The sequence below is a fragment of the Homo sapiens genome, chromosome X, assembly GCF_000001405.40.
Source record: "Homo sapiens chromosome X, GRCh38.p14 Primary Assembly".
NCBI lineage: Eukaryota > Metazoa > Chordata > Mammalia > Primates > Hominidae > Homo > Homo sapiens.
Window position 1 is genome coordinate 105,926,726 of NC_000023.11, and position 14,093 is coordinate 105,940,818.

A 14,093-nucleotide genomic window follows, 5' to 3' on the forward strand; every position below is an offset into this window, starting at 1 on the left:
CCAGCACCATTTATTGAAGACATTGTTCTTTCCCCAGTGAATATTCTTGATGCCTTTATCAAAAATCAACCACAATGAGATAAATGAATATGTGGATCTATTTATGGGTCCTTTATACCGTTCCATTGGTATGTGTGTCTGTTTTTTGGTTGCTGTAGTTTTGTAGTATATTTTGAAATCTGATATTGTGATGCCTCTAGTATTATTCTTTTTCCTCAGGATTGCTTTGGCTATTCTAGGTCTTTTTTGGTTCCATGCAAATTTTAGGATTTTTTTCCTATTTCTGTGAAGAATGTCATTGGTATTTTCATAAGGATTGCATAGAATCTGGATATTGCTTGGGATAGTAGGGTCATTTTAGCAATATTAATTCTTCTAGTCCATGAGCATATGTTGCCTCTCCTTTTGTGTGTGTGTCCTTTTCAGTTTCCTTCATCAATGTTTTATAGTTTTTCTTGTAGAGATCTTTCACCTCATTGGTTAAATTTATTTCCAAGTATTTTATTTTGTAGCTACTGTATATGGGATTGTTTTTGTGATTTCTTTCTCAGCTAGGTTATTGTTGGTATGTACAAATGTTACAGATTTTTCTATGCTGATTTTGTATCTTGCAACTTTACTGAATTTGTTCATCAATTCTAAGAATTTTTTGGTAGTGTCAAAGGATATTCTATTTATAAGATCATGTCATCTGCAAACAGACACTCTTTGACTTCCTCTTTTCCAATTTGGATGTCTTCTATTGCCTTCTCTTGCCAAATTGCTCTGATTAGGACTTCCAGAACTAAGTTGAATAAGAGTGGTGAAAGTGGATATTTTTGTCTTATTCCAGTTCTTAGAGGAAAGAATTTCAGCTTCTCTCATTCAGTGTGATGTTAGCTGTGGGTTTTTCATATATGGTTTTTATTGTTTTGAGGTATGTTACTTCCATACCCAAACTGTGGAGAGTTTTTATCACGAGGGAATGTAGAATTTTATCAAATGCTTTTTTTGGTATCTTTTCACATGATCATATAATTTTTGTCTTTGATTCCATTGATGTGATGTATCATGTTTATTGATTTGCATATGTTGAATCTCCCATGTATCCCTGGGATAAATCACACTCAATCATGGTGTATAATATTTTTGATATGGTATTGGATTCAGTTTGCTAGTATTTTGTTGATTATTTTTGCATCTATCTTCATCAGAGATCTTGGCTTGTAGTTTTTGTTTGTTTGTTTGTTGTAACTGTTGTGTCCTTATCTGGTTTTGAGATCAGAGTCATACTGACCTCACAGAATGAGTTTGGAAGAATTCCCTTCCCTTCAACTTTTTTGGAATAGTTTGAGAATCGACATTAGTTCCTCTTTAAATCTTTGGTAGAATGCAGCACTGATGCCATAGGGTACTGGACTTTTCTTTGTTGGGAGACTTTTTATTGCTGATTCAATCGCATTATTCATTATTGGTTTGTTTAGGCTTTCTATTTCTTCTTGGTACAATCTTGCTAGGTTGTATGTGTCCAGGAATTTCTCCATTTCCTCTAGATTTTCTAATATGTTGCTGTGTAGTTTTTCATAATAGTCTCTTATGATTCTTTGTATTTCTGTGGTATCAGTTGTGATGTCTGCTTTTTTGTTTCTGATTTTATTTGGGTCTTTTATACTTTCTTGTTAGTTAATCTAGCTAACGGTTTGTCCATTTTGTTTATCTTTTCAAAAAGCCAAATGTTCATGTTGTATTTCTTCTGTATTGTTTTTGAGTCTCAATTTCATTTACTTTTGCTCTGATTTTTATTATCTCTTTATTTCTATTAATTTGGGGTTTGGTTTGTTCTTGCTTTTCTAGTTCATTGAGGTGCATCATTAGATTGTTATTCAAAATCTTTCTACTTTTTTAATGTAGTCATTTATTGCTATAAACTTGTCTCTTACTACTGCTTTTGCTGTCTCCTATAAGTTTTGGTGTGCTGTGTTTCTATATTCATTTGCTTCAAATAATTTCTTAATTTCCTTCTTATTTATTGGCTAATTGATGTTCAGGAGCATATATTTTTAATTTCCATATATTGTTACAGTTTTGAATGTTTCTCTGGTTATTGATTTCTAGTTTATTCTATTTTGGTCATAAAGGATACTCAATAATAATGTTGATTTAGAAAAATGTTTTGAGACTTGTTTTGTGTCCCAACATATGGTCAGTCTTAGAGAATGTTTCATGTGCTGATGAAAATAATGCATATTCTGCAGCTGTTGGGTGAAATGTTCTATAAATGTCTGTTAGGTTCATTTGGTCTATGCTGCAGTTTAAATCCAATGTTTCTTTGTTGATTTTCTGTGTAGATGATCTGTCCAATGCAGAGAGTGAGGTGTTGAAATTCTCAACTATTATTATATTGTAGTTTATCTCTCCCTTTAGATGCAATAATATTTGCTTTTTATATCTGGGTACTCTAGTGTTTGGTCCATAAGTATTTATAATTATTATATCCTCTTGCTGAACTGATCCTATTATCATAATATAATGTCCGTGTTTTTCTCTTTTTTACATTCTTTGACTTTTAACACCTGTTTTATCTGATATAAGTGTAGCTATTCACGCTTGCTTTTGATTTCTGTTTACATGGAATATCTTTTTCCATTTCTTCATTTTCAATCAGTGTGTGTCATTACAGGTAAGGTGAATTTCTTATAGGCAACATATAATTGGGTATTTTTATTTTTTTATTTTTATTTTTTTTACTTTTTAACTGTTCTACTAGTCTATATGTTTAATTACAGAATTTTGTCTGTTTACTGTCAAGTTTATTATTGATATGTGAACACTTACTCCTGTCATTTCGTTAATTGTTTCTGGTTTTGTGTATCCTTTTTTTTCTATTCTCTTATTGTTAATCTATGTTGTTAGGTAATCTTTTGTAGTAATAAGGTTTGATTCCTTTCTATTTCACCTTTCTATACCTGCTTTACAAGTTTTATAATTTCATGTTTTCATGATAGTTGTTATTGTGTTTTTCCTTTCAGATGTAGGACTCCCTTAAGCATTTCTTGTAAGACCTCTCTAGTGGTGATGAATTCCTCTGCTTTTTGCTTATCTGGAAGAGGCTTTATTTCTCCATTTCTGAAGGATTGCTTTCCTGGTGATACTATTTTGGGCTATCAGGTTTTTTCCAGCACTTTGAATATATCATCCTATTCTCTCCTGGCTTGTAAGGTTTCTGTTCAGAAATCTGCTGTTAGTCCAATGAGGATTTCCTTATATGTGATAAGACTCTCCTTTTGCTGTTTTTAGTATTCTCTCTTTGTCACTGACTTCTGACAGTTTCACTGTGATTTTCTTTGGGAGGACCTTTTTGAGTTGAATATATTTGATAACCTTTGAGCTTCCTGAAACTAGATGTTCATATCTCTCTCCCAAGACTTGGGAATTTTTCAGCTTTTATTTTATTAAATAAGTTTTCTACATCTTTTCATCCTTCTGGAACCCCCATAATTCAAAAATACATCCTCTTAATGTTGTCCCATAAGTTCTATAGGCTCTCTTTATTCTTTTTTTTTCTCTTTTTTCTTTTCTGCCTGAATCATTTTAAAAGACATGTCTTCAAGTTCAGAAATTCTTTATTCTGCTTGGTCTAGTCAGCTATTGAAGCTCTGTATTGTATTTTTTAATATTATTCATTGAATTCTTTATCTTCAATATTTCTGTTTGGTTCTTTTTTAATGATACCTATTCCTTTGTTGAATTTCTCATTCAGATCATGATTTTTTAAAATTTCATTGATTTGTCTATCTGTATTCTCTTGTATCTTGCTGAATCTCCTTAAGATCATTATTATTAATTCCTTTTCTGGCACTTCACTTTTTCTTTTCTGTTGGGTCTGCTACTGGAAAATTATTATGTTCCTTTGAAGGTATCATGTTTCCTTATTTGTTAATGTTTCTTGTGTCCTTGTGTTGATATCTGTCCATCTGATGGAGCAATTGCTTCTTATAATGTTATGGAGTGGCTTTCATAAGGAAAGACTTAGTCCATAGATGGGTCCTGGGGTGTTGGTTGGGTTGGGTGCATTGACTTTGGTTCTGGGTGGATGCAGCAGTGTGGTCTCTATGCTGTAATATACATTAGCAACGTTTGCTAGTACCTCACTGGCCCAGGCTGCAAAAGTTTGTGGCAGAGGTGGCACACCTTTGCCAGGGGTGGGCTTGCCAGGCTGTTTCTCAGTCCAGAGGCAAAAGTGCACATGCGGTGGGTTGGGTGGCTCAGGAATTTGCCCTCCAGTGTTGAGCTATCAGACTACTTCTCTGGGCAAGAGTGTGGTCACACAGGGTGGGAAAGCTAGCTTGGGGTCTGGCTTACTGGGATCAGTGCTGCTGAGCTGTTTCTCTGGCCAGGGTTGCAAGTGCACAGCAGTTAAGCCAGCCTAGAGTTGGCTTCGCCAATGTGCAGTACTGGAGTTATGGCTGACCTTTCCTGGGCCCAAGATCTGAGCAGTCAGGGTCACAGCATTTCAGCCATCAGTTGGGGCTTGGTGAAATGACAGTGGAGCTGCAAGACTGGAGAGGCACAGTGTTTACTGGCCCCCAGAACATAGTGTATTTCAGCAGTGCCTCTAGATTCAAGATGGCACCAGGCTGCAGCAGCTTAGGTCATGGGTTGGTGGGAAATGCACAACTTTTGCTCCTTATCTGGAGCAATGCAGACACATGAATTTCAGGCACCTTCCCAAACTGAACTCAGGGCTTGTGAGGACTATGAGATTCTCCTGTAGTAAGTACTACAGTTGTCTGTGGTGGCAATTGGGGCTGATGAGAGTCTTCTGCTTACCTTTTCCCAATAAGGAGAATTTATTCCGGGCTCTGAGCTGATCATGGTAGGGGAGATGGGGCAGCAGAAGCAGAGTACCTCACTTCCCTCTCTTTGCTGCCATTTTGAGATTCCATGCTACACAGTGACCTCACCACCCCATCACTGCACTCCAACACTCTCCCTCAGACACACCAGTTGAACTCTGTTTATTCATTCTCTTTGTCCTTTTTTGTGAGGGGGACAAGCACCAGGTGCCACCAATAAGCTATCTTACTGACATCACTCCAACTGGAACCGATTATTTTTTTCTGAGTTTTTTTTTATTGTAGTAAAATATGCATATCATAAAACTTACCATTTCAACCATTTTTAAGTGTACAAACCAGTTGGATTTATTACATTCAGAATGTTGTGGGGTTGTCACCACTATCCATTTTCAGAACTTATTTTTTTTACCATCCCAAACAAACTAAACAATTAAGTCTTGTTTCCCCCCTCCTCTAACCCCTGATAACCTCTATTCTACTTTTTTTTCTTGGTGACTTATATAAGTGGAATCATACAATATTTGTCCTTTTGTGTCTGGCTTATTTCACTTTTTAGGTTTTCAGAGTTTATCCACATTGCAGCATGTATCAGAATTTCATTCCTTTTCAAGGGTGAATAATGTTTTATCTTATGCATTCACCACATTTTGTTTATCCATTTATCTACTGATGGAAACTTGGGTTGTTTCCACCTTTTGGTTATTGTGAAAAGCGCTGCTGTGAACATTGATGTACAAGTATCTGTTTGAGTCCCTGCTTTCAGGTTTTTGGGGGGTATATAGCTAGGAGAGGCATTGCTATATCATGTAATCAGGCTATGCTTAACTTCTTGAGCAACTGATAACATAAAATTTTAATTCAAGAAATATACTGTGTTTAGACAATGATTTTGTCATTCACAAAACATTTATTGACTTTATAAATAGGTTTAAAATATTCAAGTAGTTCACAGATGCTACATCAATAGAAATTATCACACATAATATTTTCTGAACCATGTGGTATTTGAACTCATTCTTGAGAAATGGGGAGTATCTGGATATCTGAAAACACAGGTGGAACTCCAGACAGAAAAAAGATTATGCCAGTCTACTCCCCTAGCCTATTTTCTTGTCACACAAACTGGCTTTGGAGATGCCATGCTCTTTCATGAATCAGCGCTCCTGTGCAAGCTGTTTCCTCTGGAAGGCTGCCCCCTCACCTCTTCTCTGCTTGGTAAATTAGTAATCCTTCATGGGCCAAATTAAGTATCAACTTTGACTTCCCAAGGCAGAGTTATATATCCCTTCCTTTCTACTTACAAACCTTTTGTCCATAGTTCCAATTTAGTACTTATGGTATTATTGTTAGTTATTTTATTTTTTTGCTTTCATACTATATTGTGAACTCTTAAAGGAAATAATTATGTCTAATCCTTCCATGATTATTTGTCTACCAACTCACCCAACTTCAGTGTCTAACCAAGGACATGGCATATGATAGGCACACAGTAATTATGGAATAAATCAATAAAGTTTGAAAAGAAAGAAAAAAAGGAAGGAAGGAAATTTCCTGGATGGTTTCTAATGGGAAAGCAGTGTCAGTGGGAAAATATCTATGTCTGTCTATCTATCTATCTATCTATCTATCTATCTATCTATCTATCTATCTATCTTAATTAAAGACATTAAAACAGGATGTCCCAACATAAGTTTCATAGCAACCCTGGTTATATCCAGTTATCTCAAGGAATGTTTTGGAAATTTATAGAGGAAGTGGATCTTCCTTTCATTTTAATTTAAAAAGGACGTGATGTCATACCATGTTTTTGTGGTTGAAAAGGTCATAAAAACCAGTCTTTTGCAGAATAGCACAGCTCTCTCAGTGCCAAGAATCACTGTTTAGACACAAAGATGAGCTTATCAACAGAATAACTTACCAACAATAGTTGACATATTTTCCCACAGGACAGGGCATACCACATAAATTGTCACATTTCGTGGCTTTTATCCTTGAGTATCTTCTTTGTAAGTTAATGGAAGCCAGCTACATTTTCAGTGATGCATGTTTACGCTCTTGGATTTGTGTTGGTTGATTTGCCTTCATTTTCTTTATCATTTGAAAATTATTTATGCAGGTTTTTCATGCTTTCAGTTTTGTGAAGATACCTTAAAGCAGTAGAACAGACACCCCCACACTGTGCTTTATATTTTTTCAAGAGGCTGTTTGGCATAGCATAGCTGGATGTATGCTTTGGAATCAGACAGACTTTGGCTTCAAATTCTGCTTCCCCTACTTACTAGTACTATGACTGAATACATTATTTACTGTCTCTAAATTTTAAATTTGTATAAGTAAATTGGAGATAATTATACTTACTTGTTGGGCTATGGTAAGGATTCACAAAGATATCTAAATATCATGCTTAGCACAGTAGCTGATACATGGTAAAAATTCCACAAATGTTAGGTCTCAAATTGTACAGTTGGGAACCTATAGCTCCTTGCTTTTCTCCTGTACCATCAGTCATCTCAATAATAGGTTAGTTTTCTCCTTCTGATGACATTGTTGAGTTTTTCTAGTAAATGTGGATTTTATAAGAATGTAGATGTTATAGATCTTGCATTGTGTTTTTCAAACGACCCCTCACTAGGCATATTTCTCCCACTGTTAACCTACTAATGAAATAAAAATTGGTTTTTGGACTTCTTTTAGGAGCCAGGTGGTGGAAATGAGGCCTCAAATGCCATTGACTCAGGTGCTGCACCGTCAGCACCTGATCATGAGAGTGACAATAAGGACATATCAGAATCATCAACACAATCAGATTTTTCTGCCAATCACTCATCTCCTTCCAAAGGTTCTGGGATGTCTGCTGATGCTAACTTTGCCAGTGCCATCTGTGAGTGTGTTCAATGTAATCTCTAAATGCTACTATCTGTTCACTTATTAAATAGTGTTTAACCACTGCTTCATGATCTGTTAGGAATCAAATTATTCTCACATTCACTTGAAATAAATTCAGATTGATATATGCTTTTAAAACATCTACTCTTTACTGAATCTTTATGGTACCTAAATTTGAGCTACAATTGAGAAATTGAGTCCCTTATATGGATTTATGTGTGTTTTCTAATCACAATAACTTAAAATATATTCGTGTTCAACAATGTATTTTAGCCATCACGATTTGTGTTATCTGATGGTTTCAGAGTTACTGAAACTATACTTCCAGTAAAAAATAAAATACAATAAAAGGAAAGAAATTTATTTGTTTTTTTATTTTGAAATAAGATCTCGCTCTGTCACTTAGGCTGGATTACAGTGGCAGGATCATGGTACATGGTAGCCTCAACCTCTGATTCTTAATGATCCTCCCACCTTGGCCTCCCAAGAGCTGGGATTACAGGTGTGAGCCACGACATCTAGCCAAAGAAAATAAATTTGGCTAAGTCGTGTCTCATTTGCGGAAACACTGTAGCATATAAGGTGTACAGAGGAGTAATTTAAAAAAAATTTTTCTATAACTCCATCAGGTGCAGATTTTTCTTTAAAAAAAAATTCTGTAACTCCATCATGCACAGAACTAGTAATTTCCCTTATTATCTTCCCCTTACATCTTTGCAGTATACGCTGGATTCGTAGAAGTACCTGAGGAATCACCTAAGCAACCCTCTGAAGTCAATGTTAACCCACTCTATGTCTCTCCTGCATGTAAAAAACCACTAATCCACATGTATGAAAAGGAGTTCACTTCTGAGATCTGCTGTGGTTCTTTGTGGGGTGAGTTTGTTTTGTTTTCTTAAAGAATATATTTTTATGTAGCAAACCTGTGAAAATCATAGACATAAAATATTTGCTTACTCTTACCAAGTCATTACAATAAAAATATATTTATAGTAGTTAATTTGCTCAGAATTGGTTTTGCTGATTTTTTTTTTCACTCAGTGCAGTTTGATGTTTGAATTGACGGCCCCCACCTTTGTATTCTATTTCTTTTAAACCTGAGTTAACTTGGATGGCAGGTGGATCACGAGGTCAGGAGTTGAGACCAGCCTGGACAACATAGTGAAACTTTGTACTAAAAATACAAAAAAATTAGCTGGGTGTGGTGGCAGGTGCCTGTAATCCCAGCTACTTGGGAGACTGAGGCAAGGAGAATTGCTTGAACCTGGGAGGTGGAGGTTGCAGTGAGCAGAGATCACGCCACTGCACTTCAGCCCGGGCGACAGTGCAAGACTCTCTCTATATATATTATATTTATTATATTTTATATATATATATATATACACAACTGGACTAGGTTATGATTGTTTGAAAGTTTAAGTTTCGTATTTCTAATTTAGGGTAGTGTTCAACATGTGATACTTTATGAGGTATTCCAAGAAATATTTCTGCAGGATCTTGTTTTTAAAAAGCCTTGGAAATTTGTAGAGAAAGTTCCTTCTATAATGTCTTAACTCTGATAGACTTTTTAAAATCCTTTTTTTCAGAAGAATTATAACCACATTGGCAATGCTGAGACAATATTTTACCGCAAGCCAATCTGAATCATAAATGAAACAAAATAAATGAATTCAAGAAAGGGAGAAATCCAAAGTAAATGCCAACCTCTGTCTTGCAATTTCATAGATTTTGCTTAATGTATGATTGAACAAAGGACAGGGTTTTAAATTAAAAATAGAAAAGGGTAACAAACATTGTAATTATGTGGATTAAAGAATTTTTAAAAATCATCTCAAAGTTCTGCTAATTTAGTGTGTCAAACAACAAGATAGCATGAATATTTCAGTCTGGCAACTACCTAGAAATGTAGTTAATGTCTAATAATCCATTCTTATAACGTGTAATTTTATATTTTGAAAAATAAAAGATTATAGTAAAAATTGGCTATACTTCTTCCTCCTTCTCTGATTCCCCTGTGAGAAGAAGATGCAGCTCCTAAACATGCCATTGGCCATGAGTTAGAGAACTGATTAAAGACAGAGTGAGAAAATGAAGGCAAAATCACTTAAGTTTTCTCCTTATGCTCATGGAGCACAGGTATGCTCCAAGTGCAAGGAGGACTGTGAAATTTTATCTTGTTACATTACTTGGCTGGTTATTTCCTATGTCACTTTATGGTGAAAAGCTCCCATAGTAGTTTGAAGTGTAATTTAACTTTGGTTCTGTCTTCTATTTCAGTCCTCTTATTTGGTCTTTAAACAGTGCTTATATTTGAACAAATAGAGCCAGTCAACAAATAAAAGAGAGTGTAGAAATTGAGATCCATGAAGGCAGGAACTAATTTCATAGGCATTTGGCAACGGTAAATTTTTAATATATGCATGAACATAGAATCATTCAATTTAAAAACAATTATTTACATATAATTATTTTAAAATCATTCAAACATTTACTTATGTTTAGAGATGAGAAATGAGCTGAATTGAACTCTTTGTATGTGCTAGACTAAGAATGTTTAATGATAATTTTCAAAAAGGTTGATTGATTTTGATAAAGTTCAGAACACTACTAAAGGGTGCTAATATATCCATAAATTTCCATTTGTGAGATGGCATACCAGATGCCAGCCAGTGGAATACTGCCAGAGGGAATTATGTTCTATATTTTTATGTATTTCATTGAAATTTGTTCTGTTGGTAGAGAGTACATAGTTACACAGTATGAGGTGAATATAGCCTAAACTGATAAGTCATCTTTACATAGATCAGCATACTGGAATAGCAAAAATAGTAATATAGATGCAATTATGAAAAATAATATGAGGTGAATATAGCCTAAACTGATAAGTCATCTTTACATAGATCAGCATACTGGAATAGCAAAAATAGTAATATAGATGCAATTATGAAAAATAATCTGAGCTAATATAGCACTTTTTATATATGAACAGGAGTCAATTTGCTGTTGGGAACCCGATCTAATCTATATCTGATGGACAGAAGTGGAAAGGCTGACATTACTAAACTTATAAGGCGAAGACCATTCCGCCAGATTCAAGTCTTAGAGCCACTCAATTTGCTGATTACCATCTCAGGTTTGTTTAAGAACTAAAATTAGCTGAGTAATTATGCAGATTAATTAGTCTGCAAACTGGGTTAAAGACTTTCTCAGGTTAAAGTGTTCCTAGAAGAGCACTTTAAATATAACCTTTAATTGGGACACCAGACTTTCCTACTTATATTATCTTATCTATTTACAATTTAAAGTAACTTCCTTTTATTGTAAAGTACCTAACCTAGGTTACTGATAAGAAAAACCACAACATTTGCATCCTTGCATGTTCTCTCCAGTGCAGCCTCCTACAACTTCAGATTTCTAATTTTCATCCATTCATGCACAGGACTGCATCAACATCCACCATGTCCCGTTCTTGTGAGGTGTTAGAAGCAACAAAGAACAAAGTGAACAATAATCAGATACAAAAGAGAGTTGTCCTTAGTATATAGCCTTATCACAAGGGCCTACAGGTAGAGTTTGTAACAAGAATGGATCCCCTAAAGATCTTTACACCTTTTCCAAATAGTAGTTAAATTTCTTAGTTTTGGTCAGTCAGAGCCTGAAACTTAGAATACAAGAAAGCAAGTAAATGAGTGTTAAGAGTGATCGTGATTACTAAACAGCATTTAGTATCAGGAAAGCACCAACATTAAAGCTGACTATAGGCAAAAGATGACTGACAAAAGAGAGAAAAAGTAAGAAAATATGGTTTGTCTATGTGAATAAAATGATGCTAATCACAGACACTTATATGAGTTTATGTATTTTATTATATATAACATGCTTTATATATAATTAGTGCACAAATTGCCATGTTGCACACTAATGATTTTGTGTTATTCCTAAAATGATTAACTTTGCTTTACATTTTGGTTAGAGGAGAAATCCCTTTAGAGGTATGCTCAGACTTCATGATTTTTTAAATCATGTTTTATAGTTAGTTGCTTATAATTGTTTAAGGTACGTAGAAGTAATATTTATTTTTTGAAAACATCTGGGTGGCTTATAGACTACATATCTGTATAACAGATTTCTTTACTTTTTATCCAACTTCCTCTAACCCAAATATGTTCTTCTCTAGTTCTTGAGCTTCTCTCAAATGTGGAATATTTTTCCATCAAACAGTACTGAGAACATCAGTATAAGAAGGTACTCAGTAGTTTAAAGCACAAATTTATTTTACCATTTAAGAAATAGAATAGCGGTAGTGTTTTAGTCCATTCTCATGCTGCTATAAGGACATACCTGAGACTGAGTAATTTATAAAGGAAAGGGGTTTAATTGACTCACAGTTCCACATGGCTGGGGAGGCTTCAAGAAACTTACAATCATGGCAGAAGGGAAAGCAAACATGTCCTTCTTCACATGGCAGCAGCAAGGAGAAGTGCAGAGCGAAGGGGGGAGAAGCCCCTTATAAAACCATCAGATCATATGAGAACTCAATATCATGAGAAAAGCATGAAAGTAACTGCCCCATGGTTCAATTACCTCCCACTGGGTCCCTCACTCAACACATGGGGATTACTATTTGGATTAAAATTCGAGACCATATCACATAGATGTAGATATCTGAACCCTAACACTGCTTCAAAAATGTTGTGTAAAAACATATGAAAGACTAATCACATAAGTAAGAATCCTATTGTTGGGCCTAGAAATCATGTAATAATAAACCATAAAAATGACAAAGAAAAATGATTATAAAGTCACTATATAGGGGAAAAGAAATGTGTGATTTTTTCATGGCCTGTGTTTCCTGACTGAATTGTAAGAATTTGATGAAATTTACAATTAGGAAATTAATATTAACGATAAATTTAGTTGGAGGAAAATATAATGAAACTGTTCAACTATTTTACAAGCATGCTGGAATGACAGAACACAAAGATACCCATATTGCTGTCCCTGAATACCTTAACAGTCAATATTCAGCCACCCCTCTCGTACACACACACTACCAGGGACAGCTTTTAGGTCTCTGAACTCCAGAGGAGTTATGACTTCATGAATAGCCAAGGTACAAATGAATGGATGGTAATTATCTTGCCTGCATAGTGGAAGGCTTAACTTGTCCCAAAAAAAGTTTAGATCCCCTTCTGAGAGGCACATAGGTAGATACTTTGACTATCTCTTGGAATTGAGAGACTAAAATAATCTGTCATATTTCCAAATCCTGAATGGGAGATTCTGATGCAATGCAGTTTTTTTTAAGGTGCTTTTTACGTTAATAAAGATATTTTTAAAAGGCAAAATATCTTTACTTTTTTTTCTTCTAATATATGAAAAGAAAGACTGATTTTAAATACTGTATATTTTCTTATCTATCAGGTCATAAGAACAGACTTCGGGTGTATCATCTGACCTGGTTGAGGAACAAGATTTTGAATAATGATCCAGAAAGTAAAAGAAGGCAAGAAGAAATGCTGAAGACAGAGGAAGCCTGCAAAGCTATTGATAAGTTAACAGGCTGTGAACACTTCAGTGTCCGTAAGCCACATTTCATGTTTACTACAGCTATATAAATTTTGCATCCTTTCATTTGGTGAACTACATAATTATGAAAGGCAAAGCAGAGAAAGGAAACAATTTGCAGTTTCAAATACAGACGAGATCAGGGACGTTCAGGGTGGTATGGCTATAGACAGCAACTTCAAATCAAAGAAGAGTAAATTTCACTGACACATCTTCCAGGTCTTCTATGTTACAATCTTGATTTTTTTTTTTGAGAAAACATTGACTGACTAAAATAGTTATTGATGTTAGGTTTGGTTTACCTCCTCACCTTACTTTCTTTCCCAGTCACCCCGAATATTCCAGATAAACCGATTTTTTTTTCCTGCCTTTATATAGCTTCAGCTATATAAATGGTCTTGATTTATCTTCACAAACTTGGGGAGATGCATATGATATTCTCTTTCTTTGGAGCAACAGTAAGATTGAATCCCTCCTAATACTGTCCAGGAAACTTAATGATGAGTCAGAAAGAAAATTCTGTGATCTGCTGGCTCTCACTCCCACTGTTGATATTAATGAATATAATCACTAATTGTTTTCCATCTGATTAGAATGTTTTCATATACCCTGTATCTTCACAACCATCCACTGTGAAAGGATGTAACAACCCTAGGGGTTCAGAATCCTGCTCTCAGCTATAAAAAACCGTGAGCTAATGTCATCCCATTCTGTTCTATTTCTGAAGCAAATCCCCCTGTACTCTCAGCCTTCTTTTGCTTCTTTCCCTCTTCATTAATTGCCTCTTCAGGCAGAACTGGT

General features: G+C 35.0%; 1 protein-coding gene across 5 annotated transcripts in view; it reads left to right on the forward strand.

Annotated features, from left to right (window-relative positions):
• Positions 1–14,093, forward strand: part of NRK (Nik related kinase) — a 136,825-nt gene that overhangs the window by 104,940 nt on the left and 17,792 nt on the right. For all 5 annotated transcript variants that reach the window (XM_011530887.4, NM_198465.4, XM_006724632.4 and 2 more), the window contains exons 20-23: positions 7,533–7,719; positions 8,445–8,600; positions 10,714–10,857; positions 13,149–13,307. In XM_011530887.4, coding sequence (XP_011529189.1) covers positions 7,533–7,719; positions 8,445–8,600; positions 10,714–10,857; positions 13,149–13,307 — 646 coding nt within the window. The remainder of the gene's footprint in view (positions 1–7,532; positions 7,720–8,444; positions 8,601–10,713; positions 10,858–13,148; positions 13,308–14,093) is intronic.